This window comes from Homo sapiens, chromosome 15, assembly GCF_000001405.40.
Source record: "Homo sapiens chromosome 15, GRCh38.p14 Primary Assembly".
Classification (NCBI taxonomy): Eukaryota; Metazoa; Chordata; class Mammalia; order Primates; family Hominidae; genus Homo; species Homo sapiens.
Window position 1 is genome coordinate 90521655 of NC_000015.10, and position 21662 is coordinate 90543316.

Below are 21662 nucleotides of genomic sequence, written 5' to 3' on the forward strand. Positions count from 1 at the left end.
CAGGGCTTTAAACAAAATTGATGCTTATCTCTCAGTCACGTAACAGTCCAGAGGCAGCCCAGAGCTAATATTGTGGTTCCCCAGTGCTGGGGACCCAGGCTACTTTGCTACCATTGTGCTGGCATTCTCAACACATAGTTTTCATCTCATGGTCTAAGATGGCTGCTCTGTCTGTCAGTCTTTAGAGATGGGGTCTTGCTCTGTCACCCAGGCTAGAATACAGCGGCACAATCATAACTCACTGCAGCCTCAAACTCCTAGGCTCAAACCATCATCATTGCACAAACAGCAAAGCAATGCATTCAAAGATCTAAATGGAAAGCATTTCCAGGGAGGCTCTCTTCTTAGCCAAACTAACAATCAAATAGGAGGGTAAAATAAAACCGTCTTCACCAAAACCAGCCTCCTGGGTAGCTGGGACTACAGGTATGTGCCACCACCCCTGGCTAATTTTTATTTTGTAAAGATGGGGTCTCTCTTTGTTGCCCAGGATGGTCCCGAACTCCTGGGCTCAAGTGATCCTCCTGCCTCAGTCTCCCAAAGTGCTGGGATTACAGGCGTGAGCCACTGTGCCCAGCTGCTGCTCCCAATCCTGTCACAATATCCACATGGCAGTCAGTGAGAAGACAGAAGAGAAAAAAGAAGGCCATTTTTTCTTTCATATAAGGACAGAATCCCAGAGTTGTCCATATTACTTCTGCTCACACCCCATTGGGCAGAACATAGTCGCATGACCATAGCTATTTGCAAGGGAGGATGGGAAATGTAGTCTTCAGCTGGCTTTAGTTGGGCCTAGATGTGCTCAGCTAAAGCTCAGGATTTCTTTTAAAAAAGGAAGAAGGGGCCGGGTGCAGTGGCTCACACCTGTAATCCCAGCACTTTGGGAGGCCGAAGCTGGTGGATCACCTGAGGTCAGAAGTTCGAGACCAGCCTGGCCAACATGGTGAAACCCCGTCTCTACTGAAAATACAAAAAATTGGCTGGGTGTGGTGGTGCACACCTGTAATCCCAGCTACTAGGGAGGCTGAGGAAGAAGAATCGCTTGAACTGAGGAGGCAGAGGTTGCAGTGAGCCAAGATCGTGCCACTGCACTCCAGCCTGGGTGACAGAGCAAGAATCCGTCTCAAAAAAAAAAAAGGAAGAAGGGGAGAATGAATATTGGGAGACAATCAGTGATCTTTGCTACAAAACAGAGCACACACACACACACACACACACACACACACACACATATATTTGAGATGGAGTCCTGCTCTGTCGCCCAGGTTGGAGTGCAGTGGCACAACCATGACTCATTGCAACCTCCTCCTCCAGGATTCAAGCGATTCTCCTGCCTCAGCTTCCTGAGTAGCTGGGACTACAGCTGCTCGCCACCAGGCCCGGCTAATTTTTGTATTTTTAATAGAGAGAGGGTTTTGTCACGTCGGCCAGGCTCGTCTTGAACTCCTGACCTCAAGTGATCCACCCACCTCGGCCTCCCAAAGTGCTGGGATTACAGGCATGAGCCACTGCACCTGGCCAGATACACATATATATTTTAAAATCTTTTATTTCCAGAAACAATCTATACATATTTAGTGTCTCTGACTAATGGAGAGTCAAAGATCACCAGAGGTTTGAGGAAAGCCTGCAGAGGAAGATCAAAATGAACAAACAAATAAAAATGAATTCAGACAAAACAAAAGGTGACAATGTAAAAAGTAGAAAAAAAGTAAAAACAGAAGTAACCTAAAATTAATATCACATCCATGAAATGAGTACAGAATGCTATTCAAAAAAGAAATTTTAGGGAAACACAGAGAGTTCTTATTAATCCTTTTTTTTTTTTTTTTTTGAGACAGGGTCTTGCTCTGTCACCCAGGCTGGAGTGCAGTGACAGAATTACAGCTCACTGCAACCTCAACCTCCCAGACTCAAGGGATCCTCCCACCTCAGACTCCTGAGTTGCTGTGACTACAGTCACATACCACCATGGCAGACTAACTTTTTTTTTTTTCCATAGAGATGAAGTCTCACTACCTTGCTCAGCCTTAATCTTTTCAATTGAAAGATAATGGTAGAGGCTGGGCACGGTGGCTTGCTCTTGTAATCCCAGCACTTCGGGAGGCCGAGGTGGGAGGATCACTTGAGGTCAGGAGTTCGAGATCAGCCTGGCCAGCATGGTGAAACCCTGTCTCTACTAAAAATACAAAAAAATTAGCTGGGCGTGGTAGCAGGCACCTGTAATCCCAGCTACTATGGAGGCTGAGGCAGGAGAATTGCTTGAACTCGGGAGGCAGAGGTTGCAGTGAGCTGAGATGGCACCATTGCACTACAGCCTGGGCGAGAAGAGTGAAACTCCATCTCAAAAAAAAAAAAAAAGATAATGGTAGAAATAAAAGTTTAACAGAAGGATTGGAAAATGAAGCTGAGAAAATATATCAGGAAATAGGAAAATAACAAAAGACAAGTAAATAGAAAATAGGAGACAAAAGATAAGAAAATTAGAAGAGCAATCTAGGAGGCCCATTAACTAACAAAAGTTCCAGAAAGATGCCAGGTGCTGTGACTCATGCCTGTAATCCCAGCACTTTCAGAGGCTGAGGAGGGTGAATCGCATGAGCCCAGGAGTTTGAGACCAGCCTGGGCAACATGGTGAAACCCTGTCTCCACTAAAAATACAAAAAAAGTTAGCCAGGCATGGTGGTGCGTGCCTGTAATCCCAGGTACTCAGGAGGCTGAGGCAGGAGAACCGCTTGAACCCAAGAGGCAGAGGTTGCAGTGAGCTGAGATTGCGCCACTGCACTCCAGCCTAGGTGACAGAGCAAGACTCCATCTCAAAAACAAAAAACAATAAACCAAAAAAAAAAAAACCAAAAACAAACAAACAAAAAAACAGGTCACCTACAAAGGAAAAGGAAACCGAATGTGAGTGGCCTTCTCAGTAGCAACACTGAAAGTGAGAAAACAGTGACCCAATGCATTCAAAGATCTAAATGAAAAGCATTTCCAGAGAAGCCCTACTCTTAGCCAAGCTAATAATCAAACAGGAGGGTAAAATAAAACCATCTTCACACACAGTCTCAGAGATTTTATCTTTCACGTACCCTTTTTCTCTCCAGGAAACTATTGGAGAATGTACTCCACCAAAGTGAAGGTGTACACATGGCAAGACGACAACCTGGGATCCGGGAAGCGGAGGTGAGAACACAGGAGGCGGAGGGAAGCTTGGGGTGATGGTGAGGGGGACTGCACCACAGCAGTGCTGCAGGCTGGGGAACAGCCCAGGATGCAGCCAGAGGGCACAGCGCTCCAGAAAAGAAGCTTCCCCCAAAACCAGTCATTCATAGATTCAGTCATATGTTTCATAGCTCTGTCGGAGTTTGGGAAAGGATGAATAATGGCTTGAGAGAAATCTAAGCAAATCAATAACAGAGGCAATTTTTAACTCCAAAAAGAAATTTGTACCAAAATAGAACTATGCTACACTATGTGAACGCTTAATATTGCCAAGCACAGTGGCTCATACCTGTAATCCCAGCACTTTGGGAGGCCGAGGCGGGAGGATCCCTTGAGCCCAGGGGTTCGAGACCAGCCTGGGCAACATGGTAAGACTTCATCACTACAAAAACTGAAGAAACTTAGCCAGGTGTGGTGGTGCGTGCCTGTAGTCCCAGCTACTTAGGAGGCTGAGGTGGGAGGATTGCTTGAGCCCAGAAGGTCGGAGCTGCAGTGAGCCAAGATCATGCCACTGTACTACAGCCTGGGTGACAGAGTGAGACCCTGTCTCAAAATAATAACAATAATAATTTAAAAACCACTTAATATTGATTTACCAAGAATGATCACATAACTACATTGAAAGAATGAGGTCAGGGAAAATTATATTTTTGTTGGGGCATAAAATGGCCAAATCATCATTTTCTATGGTAGAAAATGAACAGTTAACTATCTAAAATTTTAAAATATCATAAAACAGCAGGATTAACTTCATTTAAAGTAGGACTTGGGGGCCATGTATGGTGGCTCATCCCTGTAATCCCAGCACTTTGGGAGGCTGAGTTTGGGGGATCACTTGAGCCCAGGAATTCAAGACTAGCCTGAGCAACATAGGAAGACCTTGTCTCTACTAAAATTAAAAAAAAAAAACAACAAGCCAGGGATGGTGCCACGCACCTGTAGTCCCAGCTACTGAGGAGGCGCTGAGGTGAGAGTGTCTGAGGCTGCAGTGAGCCCTGATCTTTCCATTCACTGCACTCCAGCCTGGGTAACAGAGCAAGAGACCCTGTCTCAAAAAAAAAAAAAAAAAAAAAAAAAGGACTTGAGAAATCTTTTTACGATTGTAAGCCTATAAATTTCACTTCTTAAATAATTCACATTTTTTGATTAGAAAATTATCCCAGCTTCTCAGGAAACTGAGGCAGGAGGATGGCTTGAGCCCACGAGTTCAGGTCCAGCCTGGGCAACACAGTGAGACCCTGTCTCTAAAAAAAAAAAACCAAATGTAATATGATTAAGTTAATCAAATAAGAACAGAAGTAGAATGAATATACTCCAAATCAGATTCCAGAAACATGGAACCAGAGTGCAGCTATGACAGGTGCCTATGCTGGTGAATTGGTGGACAGATAATGGTAGATTTAGCTTAATACTCATCTCATCTCTATATATATATATATATATTTGTTTTTGTGAGACGGAGTCTCCCTCTGTCACCCAGGCTGGAGTGCAGTGGCGCGATCTCGGCTCACTGCAAGCTCCGCCTCTCGGGCTCACGCCATTCTCCTGCCTCTGCCTCCCGAGTAGCTGGGACTACAGGTGCCCGCCACCACCACGCCCCGCTAATTTTTTTTGTATTTTTAGTAGAGACGGGGTTTCACCGTGTTAGCCAGGATGGTCTCGATCTCCTGACCTCATGATCTGCCCGCCTTGGCCTCCCAAAGTGCTGGGATTACAGGCACGACCACCGCACCCAGCCTTTCATCTCAATATCTTTCTACAGTCCTCCCTACATTGCACAAGCTGAAAGGTCGAATCTACATTTCCTAGATGACCTTGTGGCAGGGATTTTGGACACAATTTTGGTTTTTCCAATCATTTCCTCTCATGAGATGTATAAGGTGGAGGTGAAGTGAAGTCTGTGTGTGCTATTTATGCTGGGGAGTGCTGTGGTGGAGGTGTTTGATTTTTTTTTTTTTTTTTTGAGACGGAGTCTCGCTTCGTCGCCCAGGCTGGAGTGCAGTCGGGTGATCTTGGCTCACAGCAACCTCTGCTCCTGGGTTCAAGCAATTCTCCTGTCTCAGCCTCCTGAGTAGCTGGGACTATAGGCGCCTGCCACCACGCCCTGCTAATTTTTATATTTTTAGTAGAGACCGGGTTTCACCTTGTTGGTCAGACTGGTCTCAAACTCCTGACCTCAGGTGATCCACCCACACCTCGGCCTCCCAAAGTGCTGGGATTACAGGTGTGAGCCACTGAGCCTGGCCTTTTTTTTTTTTTTTTTTTTTTTTTTTGAGACGGAGTCTCCCTCTGTGGCCCAGGCTGGAGTGCAGTGGTGTGATCTTGGCTGACTGCAACCTCCCCCTCCTGGATTTAAGCAATTCTCCTGCCTCAGCCTCCTGAGTAGCTGGGACTACAGGCACATGCCACCACACCTGGCTAATTTTTGTATTTTTAGTAGAGACAGGGTTTCACCATATTGGTCAGGGTGGTCTCAAACTCCTGACCTCAGGCGATCTGCCCGCCTTGGCCTCCCAAAATGCTGGGATTACAGGCGTGAGCCACTGCACCTGGCCGATGCTTGATATTTCTGCAGTGGCTTCTCATCATGATGATACCTGTATGGTTCAAGAGCTGGTAAGTGTAGAGACAGCTTTCCAATTTAGTAGATGGCTTCCTGATTTCAAAAGAGGCAGTGTCTCCTTTGGTGGCTCAGTATTGCAGCATAGCTCTCAAAGTCATTCCTCAAAGTTCAACCTGGAGTCGGTTGCTTCAGCCCTCCAAACAAGTCTGGAAGTCATTTTATACCCTGTAATATATTCTTTTGTACTTAAACCATCTAGAATGGTTCTGTTCTCTGAAACTTGACCCAAACAATGTAACAGAAAAGCAGAAATAAAATGTAAAGAAAAATGCTAGGCGCGGTGGCTCACGCCTGCAATCCCAGCATTTTGGGAAGCCGAGACAGGTGGATCACCTGTGATCAGCAGTTTGAGACCAGCCTGACCAACATGGTGAAACCTCGTCTCTACAAAAAATACAAAAAATTAGCCTGCGTGGTGGCGTGTACCTGTAATCCCAGCTACTCAGGAGGCTGAGGCAGGAGAATAGCTTGAACCCAGGAGGCAGAGATTGCAGTGAGCCGAGATTGCACCACTGCACTCCAGCCTGGGCGACAGAGCGCGACTCTGTCTTAAAAAAAAAAAAAAAAACTAGCCGGGCATGGTGGCGCAAGCCTGTAATCCCAGTTACTCGGGAGGCTGAGGCACAAGAATCACTTGAACTCAAGAGGCAGAGTTTGCAGTGAGCTGAGATCAGGCCACTGCACTCCAGCCTGGGTAACAGAGCAAGACTCCGTCTCAAAAACAAACCAACAACAAAAAAAAAGCATGGTAAATAACACAAAATACAACAGAAAAAAAAATCCAATTATAATTAATAAAAATAGCTAAATTCTAGCTAACAGAGATATATTTTCAGAATACATTTTCTAAAAAGTCCAGTTATAGGCTATGTCTGAGAGACAGGTGAAAAACATAATGGAATATTATCATATAAATGAATTGACACAAATATATCTCGAAAACATAATGGAGAATGAAAAAAGATGCAAAATGATTATTCAGTATGGTGTCATTTTTGTAAAGTTTAAAAACAAAATTAGGTATTCCATATAGCATTGCTGGATCTCTACATCATATGTAATAAAAGTATAAAAACACAAACTGGAATGATATGTACCAACTTGAGCACGGTGACTATCTGTGGGGCGGAAGAAGAAATGAGAGTGGGGCCGTCGTTATGACTAATTTTGTATGTCTTTAATAAATCCCAAGTACATGCAGCAAAATGTATTGATGTCTGTTTAATCTTGATAGTGGGGGGCGTGGGTAGTATTAATATTATTTTCCGTACTCTTCCGTAGGCCTCTAATATTTCCCTCTTTACAGAACACTGACACACGCTCAGGGCTCCCCGGGACATCTTTGTGCACATCAACATTTATGCTGAGAGTAGCTTCTGGACTCCAAAGAGGAAACTCCCCGGGCACTGTGGCCCACGCCTGTTATCCCAGCACTTTGGGAGGCTGAGGTGGGCAGATCGCTTGAGCCCAGGCGTTCGAGACCAGCCTGGGCAAAATAGCGAGACCCACCCCCGCCCCCCATTGCTACAAAAACATTTACAAACTAGCCGGGCGTGGTGACCCCCGCCTGTGGTCCCAGCTGGTCGGGAGGCTGAGGTGGGAGGATCTTTTGAGCCCGGGAGGTCAAGGCCGCGGTGAGTCGAGATCGCACCACTACACTCCAGACCGGGCGACAGAGAAAGACATCCATTCACTCCCCCAAAAGAAGGGGAAATTCGCTGAGGCTGAGCGCTGGTTTCCCAAGGTGGGGCTGGCACCTGCTGAAGCTGCCACAGGAGTGGAGAGGCCGTAGGGAGACTTGGAAAGAACCTGGAAAGGGGGCCGGGGCTATGGAGCCAAGGCTGCAGCAGGGCTGGATGGTGTTTGTAGTTTGTGCAGAATAGGAGGCAGTTTTTAAAGCCGAGATACAGCTCTGGTTGACTGGAGCGGGGAGGGGTGGGTGTGAGAGGTCAGGAAACCAGCGGCTGGAGGCCGGGGGCCTGGAGCGGCAGGGCTGGCGGGCAGACGTTAGGCCCCAGGCAAAATGGGCGCACCCCCTGCGGGGGCCCGAGGTGACCTGCTCGAGGTCCGGTCGCCCAGGTTCCACCTGGAGAAGAAAATCTTCGTAATTTGGCTGGGGGAGGGGGGATGCGGGCACAGGCTGTGTTCTCCACGTCGCGTAGACGCAGAGGCCATCCCTGGGTCGGAGAGTCTCCGTGGAGTGGCACCCCAGCGTTCCCCGTACGCCGGGGCCACTTTGTCGGGCTGACGGGGGTCCCTCCAGGTGGCCGCCGGCGGCGGGTCCCGAGCCAGACCGGGAAGCGGGGAGCAGCCCTCAGCCCGCGAGCGTGGGGCCGGGGCAGACTGGAGGCCGGGCGGGCCCCGCCGAGGGTGGGGCGGGGCCGGGCGCACGGGGGCGGACCTCGGCGCGCTCCCGGCCGCTCGCTGGCTCCGGGGCCGCGGCGGCTCCTCTGCCGGGTCGCGCCGGACGACTGGCTTCGGGCGGCGGCCCCGGCGGCCTGTGGACGGACGGGTGGGCCGAGGTACAGGCCCCACGGCCGCCGTCTCCCGCTTCTGCCCGCGCAGAGTCCGCGCCATGGCCGCCTCGCCGGGCTCGGGCAGCGCCAACCCGCGGAAGTTCAGTGAGAAGATCGCGCTGCACACGCAGAGACAGGCCGAGGAGACGCGGGCCTTCGAGCAGCTCATGACCGACCTCACCCTGTCGCGGGTGAGGGCCCGGGCCGGCGCGGGCGGGGGCGGCCACGGCCGCGGGCGGGACCCGCGCGGCGGGTGAGAGGTTGCGGGGCCAAGGCGATGGCGGGGCCGGGCGGGGGCCGCGCCCGGGAACCGGCGGCTGGGAGGGGGACCGGAGCGGCCGCGGCCTCGGCGTTTCCCCGCCTGGCGACACCCGCTAGCCGTTCGCGATCCCGGGCTGAGGTGGGAGGGTCGCCCGGCCCCGTGTGCGGGAAGATGGGCAGGGGTGAAGCCCGTGGAGGCGGGCGGCCGTGCGAGGGCGGCCTGAGGGGGAGGAGGACGAGGAGCCCCGAGAGGAAATCGCAAACAGCTCGGAGGCCGGCCGGGTGGCGCGGCGCGGCTTCTGGTCGCTCCGAACATCCCCCACCATCGAGCCCTGCTGTTCTGCCGGCGTGGAAGGCCGCGGGCACCCCAGGGTCCCACGCGCTCGTGGGGGGAGCTCTGTGCACAAGTCCATCCAGGGCCCGGCCCTGGGGTGGCTCGGGTTGTTGGAACCACGACGGGATTCCGTGTCGAGTGTGAGGCTCTGCTCCTTTTACTCCTTGGAGGTGCTTTATCGGGTCCAGTTTACTTTGTTCGGCCCGGGATATTTAGTGAGAACTGACAAGCGTCGCTGGTGACTGGAGAGGGACCTGGAGGAATGAGTAAGGCGCGAGCCGGGACAAACACCTGGAGAGGTTAGGTAACCGCTGAGTGAGGCAGTGGAGGATGGAGAGCCAACCGGAGTGTCCGCGCAGGGTTGCAGAGAAGGGGGGTCAGCAGGAGTGGGGCTGGCCTTGAGGATCCTGAATGCTGACCTTGGAGGACCATCGGGAGGATGGGGGAGGATCTGCAGATTCTGGGGGACTGAGGCGGGGGAGACAGTTTGAAGGAGAGCTGAGAGCAGAGTTGCAAACCAGCTGAGTTGCAGACACATTATTTTTTGGCCAGCGCAGTGTTTGGGAAAAATTATTGAATCTGTTGCCAGAATTTTTAAATTGGAAGACTTCCACACAAAATCCAAATTTCCGTATTATTTATTTATTATTATTTATATATGTTAAAAATTGGGAGACCTGGTAACACTAATTCTGAATTCCTACATGACAGCTACCGACCTGCTGGAGCTGGGTGATGATGAAAGGGAGCTGAGCTGAGCTCCCTTTCAAATGGAGTAAGAACTCTAGTTTGCCACCGTCCACTCTCTGTCACAGTCCCCCAAGGGGAGATTAGGTGACAGTTGCCATTTATACTCATGATGGTGTTTTCTTTCAGTGAAGTTAAGGAAAAAGTGAAATATTTCCTGTACTTACATTTCTGTTCACATTGAGAAAAAATATATATATAGAGAGAAAGAAGCTGAAGATTTCAAGAAAATGTTTTCTTATACCCTATCAGCTTCACTCATTTTTTACCTGCCTGGCATCCACTGGCATTTACATCTGTGACCTTGGTTAGATTCAGAGATGAACTCGATAAGCTCAGAGCACGTTGAAAAGAATGGGTGGGTGAAAGCTGAGGATTAGTGTTGGGGCCTGTGTTGTTATGTGTTTTTAAATACATACTGTACATTGTTTATGTACAAATACATGCACTGTATATGTCTGTATACCTATGGCGGATCCAATCTTTCACCCAATTCATGAATCTTCTTTAAAATATCCCTGACAGGTGAGGCCATGAGTAATGTACAGACTCTCTTTTAAAAGCAAAAATTTTTCACAGATCCTCACTGTTTACTTACTTTCAAGTAAAAAAAAAGTGTTTACTTACTTTAGAGACCCTGCTATAGCTCAGGGTCTCTTGAATTTAGCAAGCCTAATCAACTGTGGCCCATATGATAATTCAGTCACCACTTTATTCTAATTACTACAAAATTATGGTGTCATTTTGCCCTTCACCTGGTACAGGGAATCATTTACATATTAATTCTGCCCGTGTTTTCTTCTTGGCCAGTTACCAGTAAAGTAACACTGCTTGGCTCCACCGTGTTCATAAACACATCTGTAAATGATAACACTGAATTTGGCTACTAATGTTTGCTTATTTAAAAATCTTAAGGGTTATTTTCATGAAGAAATCACAAAATTAGAACACTTCTCATAGAGAACTCTTAGATTCCCAGCATGTCTATGAAGAATGCGTCTCTAAGGATCCAAAGATCCCAGTTGGAGGAGTATCTGCCTAGTTCATAATTGGTAACTGGGTGGCAGATATACTGACTTTTCATTACTAGCCCATGACAGACATGCTAATTCCTGACTTTTCATTACTAGCCCATGACAGACATGCTAATCGATAGGGCAGACATTACTGATCTATCTAGATGCTCTTTCCCCTCTGAGCCTGTGTTGGGATTCAAGTTCTTCTCTACATGATCAAAGCAATCCTTCAGAGTTGGCCTTACTTACCTATTCACCTAGGCGTTACTTATCCTATTCACCTAGTGGGTAGGATAGACTAGACTGTAGAGGATTTTCTCTAGCTTTAGAAGTCCGGCATTATCAGGAAGCAGTGGGAAAATTTTGAGAAGGGAGTACTAGGAGGAGGAGTTGAGTGGTGGTACCTGGAATGGTAAAGAGAGGGAGGAAAGTGGGGTCGGGCGTGGTGGTTCACGCCTGTAATCCCAGCACTTTGGGAGGCTGAGGCGGGCAGATCACGAGGTCAAGAGATCGAGACCATCCTGGCCAACATGGCGAAACCCCGTTTCTACTAAAAGTACAAAAATTAGCCTGGCATGGTGGCGTGCGCCTGTAGTTCCAGCTACTCGGGAGGCTGAGGCAGGAGAATCGCTCGAACCCAGGAGGTGGAGGTTGCAGTGAGCCGGGATCGCACCGCTGCACTCCAGCCTGGGCGACAGAGCAAGACTTCATCTCAAAAAAAAAAAAAAAAAAAAAAAAAAAAAAAAAAAAAGGCCGGGCGCGGTGGGTCACGCCTGTAATCCCAGCACTTTGGAAGGCCGAGGCGGGCAGATCACGAGGTCAGGAGATCGAGACCATCCTGGCTAACACAGTGAAACCCTGTCTTTACTAAAACTACAAAAAAATTAGCCGGGCATGGTGGCGGGCGCCTGTAGTCCCAGCTACTCGGGAGGCTGCGGCAGGAGGGAGGCTGCGGCAGGAGAATGGCGTGAACCCGGAAGGCGGAGCTTGCAGTGAGCCGAGATCGCGCCATTGCACTCCAGCCTGGGCGACAGAGCGAGACTCCGCCTAGGAAAAAAAAAAAAAAAGGGAAGAAAGTGGTTGCAGGTATGCCTGGGAAGAGGCTGTTCTGTTGTTCATTTATTAATGTATTCATTTGTCAGTATTTGAGTGCCTACTTTGTTGTTAATGGGGTGTGTGTTTGTGAGGGAGAAGAGTGAAAACATGGGGCTGTCCTTTAAAGATCTTACTGATTTGTTCCACAAATTTACTTACTGAGTGAGTCCTTAGTGTGTGCCAGGGGTTAGGATGGACACTGGGTATATAGTAATGAGCAAGCAAAACACAGTGTCCCAGTGGATTTTAGGATTTAATGAGGAAGACATTCATTTAATAAGTAAGGACACATTTTGGTGAATATCACCAAAACAGAAGTAGGTGGAGCTCTGGACCTGTATGGTAGGGAATTCTCACCTCTTCCAGTGGCCTAAAGGCTCAGGGGGAGTGGGGGAGGCATTCGAGGGTTTGTGTGTTGAGGGAGGGAATATGTTGCAGGTACAGAGAACAGAGATTCAGTAAAAGAGGATGAGGAGGGGATGTGAGATGAGGCTGGAGGCATTCATAGGGATCAGGTTGTAGAGACAGGATTTGGAACTTGATCTTAAGGGCAATGGGAAGTCACTGAAGGGGTTAAACTATGTGAGATTTGCTTTTTTAAAAGATTCCTCTAGCTCCAGCGTGGTGGGTAGAAGAGAGGAGGAGGAGGATTTTAGTAGGAGATGTGATAGTGGCATTTACTAAGATGGTGGCAGTCGGGAGGCAGAGCGGTGAGCAGATTGATACTTAGGAGGTGGAAAGGGCCAGATTTTGTGAATGGGTGAGGAAGGTGAGAAAGAGGGAGGGCTGGAACCATTTCAGGGTGTTCTTCATTAAGTGGACACTGGCAGGAGCAGGTTTGTGCGGAAATGCTGAGTTTGAGGTGCCTGTGAGGCACATAAGTAGAGATGGTCCAGCAGGCAGCTGTTTAGATGGTTTTGCAGCTCGAGAAGGAAGGCTGAGCTACTGAGAAAAATGGGGGAATTTTTGTTATGTAGCCACAGAAGTAGATTTGGCTGCCTAGGAAGAATTGATGGAACAGATATTGTAAACTGGTGGCTTAAGTTCTGTATTTTGCCCTCTAACATGTTTTTGGTTTTGGCCCAAAATGTGGTTAGTTGGTTGGTTGGTTGGTTTTAATTAGGGCTAACAATGAATATTGGGATTTTATAGTAAAATCTGGACTTTGGTTTCTTTTGAAAAATGAGATAATCCAACGACACTCACCCGACATTTCTGGACGGCACCAGTTGCCTGGAGCTGAATGGTGGCTGCCCCATTAGAAAGGCCATGGATGTGGTCTTCAGTTTGCCACAGTCCCTACCACCCTCTAAGGTATTCTTTGCAGTGATCCCAGACTGCTTCACTTAGATTCCCTGCTTGGCAGCTGTAGGCATTTGAGTTTGTTACCCTTGTCAGAAGGTGAACTGTGAGGCCAGGCGCGGTGGCTCACGCCTGTAATCCCAGCACTTTGGGAGACCAAGGCAGGCGGATCACCTAAGGTCAGGAGTTTGAGACCAGCCTGACCAACATGGAGAAACCCCGTCTCTACTAAAAATACAAAAAATTAGCCAGGCATGGTGGCGAGTGCCTGTAATCCCAGCTACTCAGGAGACTGAGGCAAGAGAATCGCTTGAACCTGGGAGGCGGAGGTTGCAGTGAGCCGAGATTGTGCCATTGCACTCCAACCTGGGCAACAAGAGCGAAACTCCGTCTCAAAAAAAAAAAAAAAAAAAGAAAGTGAACCATGAGGAGGGCCTAGGAGAAGCCAAAGGAACTAAGGAACTACACCATTTGAAAGGGAGGTGGAGGAGCTGGCCAAGAAGGCTTGAAGAGCAACCAGAGGGGCAGGAGAAAGCCAGGAGTACTCTTATGAAGAGGAGGGAATGCCGACCAGCTGAGCCTAGTGCTGCTGACTTGGTCTGACACAAAAGATGTGTCCTTTGGTCTAGTCATGTGGAGGTCATCAGAGGAGGTCATCAGTAACCTCGGTGAGAGATGCTGTATTCTCAGGGTGCTGGGTGAAAGGCTAATTGTGAGACGTTGAGGAGTGGACGGGGGTGGGGAATGGAGATAGGGTTGGAAACTTATTCCAGAAGTTTGGCTGTGAAGAGCAACTTGTGTTGAGGAACCAGAGGACTAACTCAGCATATCACCCTGGAGTGTTGATTGGACTTGAATATTTGCGCAGACTCATTATTTTCATGTGAAAATAAACCAATGATAAGACATAGATATGTCATAGATTAGCGAGCTCTCAGGATGGAGGAGAGAGAGAAGATGGAAATATTAGGTTTGGGCTAAATATTGAGGACTTTCCTTTTGCGAGGCACTGTAATCCCTTTCACATGTTGTTATCTCACATAGTCCTCAAAATGAGCCTATGGTGTGTATATCTGGAATTTTCCTCATTTTTGTGGATGAGTAAACTGAGGCTTAGAGAGGCATGGTTGCAGAGCTGGTAAGTGGTAGAGCCAGGGTTTGAATCTAGCTATCACAGTGAATGTCTGTATACTTAGCTACTTTAATTTCCCTCATAAGGATCTTCAGCTGCTTTTACTCCCTGCTGTAAGGTATCAGTATCATTTGTTGAAAAGACTTTTCTTTGCCCATTGAATTGCTGTGGCAATTTTGTTGCAATCAGTTGGCCATATAAGTGTTGGTTTATTTTTAGACTCTTTTCTGTTCCAGTGATTTGTATATCTGTCTTTTTGACAATAGCACACTGTCTGTATATTATAGCTTTATAATAAGGCTTAAAACCTGGTAATTTAAGTCCTCTAACTTAGCTCTTTTTGAAAATTGCTCTGGCCAGGTGCCATGGCTCATGCCTGTAATCCCAGCACTTTGGGAGGCTGAGGCGGGTAGATAGCTTGAGCCCAGGAATTCTAGACCAGCCTAGGTAACATGGTGAAATCCGTCTCTAAAAAAAAAAAACGAAAATTAGCTGGGCGTGGTGGCGCGTGCCTGTATTTGGGAGGTGGAGGTTGCAGTGAGCTGTGATTGTGACACTGCACTCCAGCCTGGGCAACAGAGACCCTGTCTCAAAAAAAAAAAAAAATTGCTCTGACTATTCTAGGTCATTTGCACATCCATAAATTTTAGAATTATCTTGTCAATGTCTCTGAAAGGACCCGCTGGGATTTTGGATTGTAATCGTGTTGGCTATTGTGAGACTTTTCTCAAAAAGGAATTAATGAGGCCTGGATCTCATTTCCTGTAGGCATTAAAGAAAATTCCACTAAGATGTGTGACTGTAGGCCAAAGGTCACTAACTCAGTAAGTGAGGCAGGTAAGGAAAATGAATGGAGGGGCCAGGAATGAGATGATCATGGCAGCTGATCCTGGGCCATCGTGAAGGGATAATAGGGTACAGTGAGGACTTGGCAAACACGATCTAAGGGGGTGGCCTCTTCTCAGCTTCATCCAGCGATGCCATGCAAGAACATGGGTTCAGTGTTGTCTGATCTTTCAATCAGGAGAAGTTGGAAATCCATATTTTTATGCAGTGTCCTGATTTTTTCAATTGAAATTTAATACACTGAATGGGTCAACATCTGGTGGGTAAACAGAACACTCTAGGTGAAATGTGGCCTATGGGCTGCCAGTCTGTGACCTCGGCCTTAGGCTAATCATTCTTTGGTTCACATGTTCATCATCTGTAAACATGAAGGTGTTGAAGACAGTCTCAAAGTTCTTTTTCTAGCTCAATGAGTCTAAATTTCAAAAGAGGAAAATGTCAAAATAACTCAGAGTTTGAAGAGGTAGCTGAGATCAGCAATAATGATAATATCTTAAGTTGACCAGAGCTTTACATTTGACATACCACTCTTGTGTCTGTGTCATTTAATCCTCACTTTATCTTGTGCAGGAGGCGTCAGAGTTGTTTGCCCAACCACACGGGAGTTGCAGGTTACAAAGTCACATCATCCGATTCCAGGTCCAGTGCTTTTTGTTTTTTTAGAGTCTCGCTCTGTCGCCCAGGCTGGAGTGCAATGGCGCCATCTCGGCTCACGGCAAGCTCCGCCTCCCGGGTTCATGCCATTCTCCTGCTTCAGCCTCCTGAGTAGTTGGGACTGCAGGCGCCCACCACCATGCCTGGCTAATTTTTTTGTACTTTTAGTAGAGACAGGGTTTCACCGTCTTAGCCAGGATGGTCTCGATCTCCTGACCTCGTGATCCGCCCGCCTCGGCCTCCCAAAGTTCTGGGATTTACAGGTATGAGCCACTGCTCCTGGCCTTTTTTTTGAGACAGAGTCTCACTGTGTCACCCAGGCTGTAGTACAGTGGCATGATCTTGGCTCACTGCAACCTCTGCTTCCTGGGTTCAAGCAATTCTTCTGCTTCATCCTCCCAAGTAGCTAGGATTGCAGGCATGCACCACCACAGCTGGCTAATAGTTAGTAGAGACGGGGTTTCACCGTGTTGGCCAGGCTAGCCGTGTTCTTTTTTAACAGTCTTTGAAGGCTTCGGAAATAGGTGCTTTGGGAGGGAGAGCAGTTATGGGGGATTGTGAGACGGCCTTCAGCTCAGTTGAGGGCAGGTCCCTATCTGGATTTATAACTTAGTTTGGTTGAAGTGTCAAGGCTTTTGGGTAAGAGTTGAAGCCTTTGTGAGAACTCTCTGAAGGCAGGAACTTTAGCATACATTCATCTTAGTAAGCCAGTGCCTGGCATACTACCTGACACACAGTTAAGTTTTTGTATCAGTAAATCAATGGATAAATTGATCCTTCAAAAAAGAAATCAAAGGCTTTAAATCAAGATGGCTGAGAATTTTGTCCAGAGAATTTCAAGAATAGTCAGATGCTTCTGATAAGTACTTTTAGAATGTTAAGATTGAAAGCTGAGAGACTTTATTCCTATAACTCCACTCCTAGATGGAAAAAACACCATGTCGTCCTCCTCATGTTTGACTCTGAGATTTGGGTTTTGATTAATAGGTTATAACTGTCTCCCTGTGCAGTACATTTAAGAAATCAAATACAGCAGGTATAAGGGAAGTTAAAGCCACTGAAGGATTTCGTATGCCTTTAAAATTTCCAAACAAGTATAAGTCTTTATCTTTTGAGAATACATATTGAAATATGGAGTGATACCATGTCTGAAATTTCTGTCAGTGAGGCACTGCGGGTAGTGGAGAGGGTAAAGATGAAAGATGATTGTATATAAGTTGGTAATTTTTAAGCTAGAAGATGGATAGATGGGGTTTCATTATACTTGTCTTTATTTCACATATACTATTTGAAATCTTTCATAATAAATGTAAAAAGGAAATTATCAGAGAGCTTCATAGGTTCAACAATGCTTTTGGTAAACCAAACTTCACCTTTTTTTTTTTTTTGAGTTTGTAATTAGTATGATCATCGAGGGAAAGATGGGACAAAGGAAAAGAGCATGGCAGAAATGGGCATATGGGCTTTGAGGCTGACAGCCGTGGCTCAGCCTCCTGCTAGCCACGTGGCAAGTCACTGAACTTCCGAGTCTGGGTCTCCAGGTCTGTAACAGCAGGAGAGTACAGTCTCATTTGCATGGTTGTGGGGAGGATTAGGGATGAAGTGGGCCAAGTGTCCGAGAACAGCACCTGGCCCATCCTAGGGGCTTAGATCTGGTAGTGTTTTATTATTGTTAGAGACAGAGAGTGATGAAGGGTAAAAATCTGCCCCAGGGCTCTCGTCTATAACCCTTTCTTCTCTATATGAATTATAGTGCCAAGGGTTATGTAACCATGGAGCTAATTTATTATTTTAGAAACAGAACTCTTAAAGACCAGATCAGACCACTTTGAGATTTACAAGAACTGTAACCAGTTTATTGCTTTTTGAAAAATGAAGTAAGGAAGAACTTACAAAGAAAAGCATATTAAAATGGTGGGATGCCATTTTATACCTATTGAATTGACCTCCTTCCTTACCCCAATTAATGGTAATATCCAATATCAATGAGTTTTTTTGGTGAAACTTTTCTCATATGTATATTATAAACTCTTTGGGAAAGCATTTCGGCAGTATACGTTGAGAGCCACCAAAAGGCCCATATCCAGAGATTTAGTAATCACCCTTTGGAAGGTGTTCTAAGGAAATAATTCAGAAGAACTGTTATATACCCACTAAAAATTACTCTGTAATAGCATAGAAAAGGCTTATGATGAGCATGCTAGGTTGTACCTATCTTATGATCACAGCTATGCAGTTCTTACCATAAATGTAAACGGAGGCTGGAAAAGAGCATGAAGAAGGGAAAACAGCTAATGTGTTAGGGTTGTGGATAGTAGCTTAGTTTTTCTTTCAGAAATTCTTTTATTGTTGTTAAAGATTATGCCAGTGTATCCAAACATACACACTCAAAGACCTTGCAAGAGGACGTTACTATCATGGTATATGGGACATTTGGAACATGGGTAAGCTCTTTCCGAAAATAGAGTAATCAAAACCCAGAAAGCACCGGAAACCTTGAGGGTGTGATCACTTACGTCGAGAAGAAATTGAAACAAGACTTTCATTCTTGAACCGTTCCCCTACAAAATACTATACTTTGATGCTTCTTTAGATCTTTGCTGTTACCTCTCAGCGTTCTTAAATCACTTTGTTTCCAGGTTCAATTTCAGAAGCTTCAGCAACTGCGCCTTACACAGTACCATGGAGGATCCTTACCAAATGTGAGCCAGCTGCGGAGCAGTGCGTCAGAGTTTCAGGTACCTCCAGATATGTACTTTCTTGAAGCTGAATGGAGTGTAAAAAATAGACAAAGATTATCACTAAAAAGATGAGATCTTGAAGGATAAGCTGGGCCTAGGTACAGTTCAGTCTTCTTTTGGAAAGTCCATTAATATTCTCTCTCATAGTTTCTACAGCATACGATAGTGTTATTTCACAAATGGCTGAAGGCAGCACTGGCAAGTAGAATTATAACACAAGCATATGTAATTTAAAATGTTCTAGTAGCTACATTAAAGAAGAAGAAACACGTGGGGTTAATTTTAATATCTATATTTTTCAAAATGCAGCTTTCTCATCTATAATTTTAATATTACTTAAATAAATGTTTGGCTGGGCATGGTGGCTCACACCTGTAATCCTAGCACTTTGGGAGGCCAAGGCTGGCAGATCACCTGAGGTCAGGAGTTCGAGACCAGCCCGGTCAACATGGTGAAACCCCATCTCTACTAAAAATACAAAAATTAGCTAGGTGTGGTGGCTCACAGCTGTAGTCCCAGCTACTTGGGAAGCTGAGGCATGAGAATCGCTTGAACCCAGGAGGCGGAGGGTGCAGTGAGCAGAGATCATACCACTGCCCTCCAGCCTGGGCGACAGAGCGAGACTGTCTCAAAAAAAAATAAAAATAAAAAAATAAATATTTAATCCAATATATCCAAAATATGATCATTTTAACATGCAATCAGCATAAAAAAACTGAGAAATCTCACATACTTTTCTGTGTACTATGTCTTTGAAATCTGTTGTGTATTTTATACTCAAAGCATACTTTAATTTGGACCAGCCGCATTTCACTAGTTTCATGTGGCTGGTGGCTACCACATGGCTCAGTGCAGGTGTAAGACACAGATAAGTAGTCTGTATTGCATTTAGATTACTGCAGTGTCCTCGGGTGCTTTCATCGTTCACATCAGTGGAAAGCCTTGTTCAAACCAATGTGGAATTGGTGTTTCAGACAATGGTATATGGCACTATTGTTAAGACCTGAATTAGACCTGCTTAGATATCCCAATCTGTGAAACATTAGGAGCCTGTCATTCTAATTATGCAATTTAAGATTCGGTGTTAAAGTTGAGATATAAACTTTAAGATGAAGCATTAATTGATTGTTTGGATGCCTGACCATTTTAAAAGCACTGTCTTATTTCTTTGTGGTAGAAACTGGGTTCACTTTTTTGATGATGTCAAATAAAGCCAAATGTATTATTTAAGTTGGGGACTTCCATTTGAGAGTGCTGATAGGAACTCCAAATATAATGGTGATTAGAAAAAGTACTACATGAACATATTTGTACCCTATTGCACCGGAATCTTGTCTTCAATATAATGACAATGGACTCTTTACCATATTACTGCCTGTATTAGAGATCTACCTTCATATATCAAACTACCTTATATATTAACCCACTGGGTTATTTAGTATCCAAATAACATAGGTCTCTGCCTTATGCGGGATTTCATACTTCAGGAAATACAGCATTGTGCAAGTTTGCTGTGTCTGAGATCCCAATTTTGTGCTACTTTATTGTCAACTTTAGAGGAATATAGAATTTACTATGATGTTCCCCTCCGGTTGCATTGGGGAATGGGATAAAATGATAATCCTTGGCCTTCCCAGGATTCTTTTTTTCTTTTTTTTTTTTTGAGATGGAGTCTCACTCTGTCGCCCAGGCAGGAGTGCAGTAGTGCAATCTCAGCTCACTGCAACCTCCATCACCTGGGTTCAAGCATTCTCCTGCCTCAGCCTCCTGAGTAGCTGGGATTACAGGCGTGCACTACCACGCCCAGCTAATTTTTATATTTTTAGTAGAGATGGGGTTTCACCATGTTGGTCAATTGGTCTTGAACTCCTGACCTCAAGTAATCCACCCACCTTGGCCTCCCAAAGTGCTGGGATTACAGGCATGAGCCACCGTGCGTAGCCCCCAGGATTCTTTTCATACTGTTTTTGTTTTGTTTTGTTTTGTTTTTCTTTGCAACAGTCACAAACTTACACAATACTTGGAAGTATAGTCCACTTAATTTTTTTTTTTTTTTGAGACCGAGTCTCATTCTGTCGCCTAGGCTGGAGTGCAATAGCGCGATCTCAGCTTACTGCAACTTCCAGCTCCTGAGTTCAAGAGATTCTTCTGCCTCAGCCTCCCAAGTAGCTGGGATCATAGGCGTGCGTCACCACGCCTGGCTAATTTTTGTATTTTTAGTAGAGACAGTGTCTCACCATGTTGGCCAGGCTGGTCTCGAACTCCTGACCTCAGGTGATCCGCCCATCTCGTCCTCCCAAAGTGCTGGGATTACAGGCATGAACTACTGTGCCCTGCTGACATAACTTTTTTTTCACTTGGGAATAAGTTCCTGACCTGATGCCCCATCACCCCCTAATATTTCACTGTGTTTTTCCTACAAGCAAAGACGTTGTTCTATATAACCAAAATACAGCCATCAAGATAAGAAAATTAACAGTGATCCATTATTACAATCTGATCTTCAGACTGCATTCACCAAATGTCCCCCTGCTGTCCTCTGTAGCAAAAGGATTCAGTTCAGAATCACATGCAGTTATTGCCTGCAGTCTCCTTCAGTCTGGAACAGCTTTTCAGCCTTTTATTTTTGACATTAATTCAAGTACTCTTAACGTTTGTGATCCTGTCACATTTGAAGATTACAGGCCAGTTTTTTTGTAGATATAACCCCTCAATTGGGGTCTGCCTAATGTATCTTTGTGATTTGATTCAGACTATGCATCTTTGGCAGGAATAACGTAGAAGAAGTGAGGCTGTTATGGTATCACATTAGGGACATGATTTTGATGTGTCCTGTTAATGATGATGTTCTCTTTTATCAATTAAGGTGGTGTCCACCAGGCATGGTGGCTCACACCTGTAATCCCAGCATTTTGGGAGGCTGAGGCAGGCAGATCGCTTGAGCTCAGGAGTTTGAGCCAGCCTGGGCAACATGGAGAGACCCTGTCTCTACTGAAAAAAAAAAAAAAAGGCCAGATGTGGTGGTGCACGCCTCTGGTCCCAGCTACTTGGGAAGCCGAAGTGGGAGGATTGAGTGCTTGAGTCCAGAGAGCAGAGATTTCAGTGAGCTCACATGGGGCCACAGTACTCCAGCTTGGGTGACAGAGCCAAACCCTGTCTCAAAAAAAAAAAAAAAA

General features: G+C 46.2%; 1 protein-coding gene across 2 annotated transcripts in view, besides 4 other annotated features; it reads left to right on the forward strand.

Moving 5' to 3' along the window:
- Positions 7723-7772: a silencer, noted in NCBI's record as "silent region_6821". NCBI's record gives its function as "represses an Ori minimal core promoter by ATAC-STARR-seq in GM12878 lymphoblastoid cells {active_cell/tissue: GM12878}" and the evidence as "EXISTENCE:reporter gene assay evidence [ECO:0000049][PMID:35858748]".
- Positions 7873-8622: a silencer, noted in NCBI's record as "silent region_6822". NCBI's record gives its function as "represses an Ori minimal core promoter by ATAC-STARR-seq in GM12878 lymphoblastoid cells {active_cell/tissue: GM12878}" and the evidence as "EXISTENCE:reporter gene assay evidence [ECO:0000049][PMID:35858748]".
- The window catches only part of CRTC3 (CREB regulated transcription coactivator 3), a 115423-nt gene continuing 102029 nt past the window's right edge, over positions 8269-21662 (forward strand). For both annotated transcript variants that reach the window (NM_022769.5, NM_001042574.3), the window contains exons 1-2: positions 8269-8549; positions 18385-18483. In NM_022769.5, coding sequence (NP_073606.3) covers positions 8418-8549; positions 18385-18483 — 231 coding nt within the window. In that variant the 5' untranslated portion in view covers positions 8269-8417. The remainder of the gene's footprint in view (positions 8550-18384; positions 18484-21662) is intronic.
- Positions 8643-8822: a silencer, noted in NCBI's record as "silent region_6823". NCBI's record gives its function as "represses an Ori minimal core promoter by ATAC-STARR-seq in GM12878 lymphoblastoid cells {active_cell/tissue: GM12878}" and the evidence as "EXISTENCE:reporter gene assay evidence [ECO:0000049][PMID:35858748]".
- Positions 9213-9372: an enhancer, noted in NCBI's record as "active region_10079". NCBI's record gives its function as "activates an Ori minimal core promoter by ATAC-STARR-seq in GM12878 lymphoblastoid cells {active_cell/tissue: GM12878}" and the evidence as "EXISTENCE:reporter gene assay evidence [ECO:0000049][PMID:35858748]".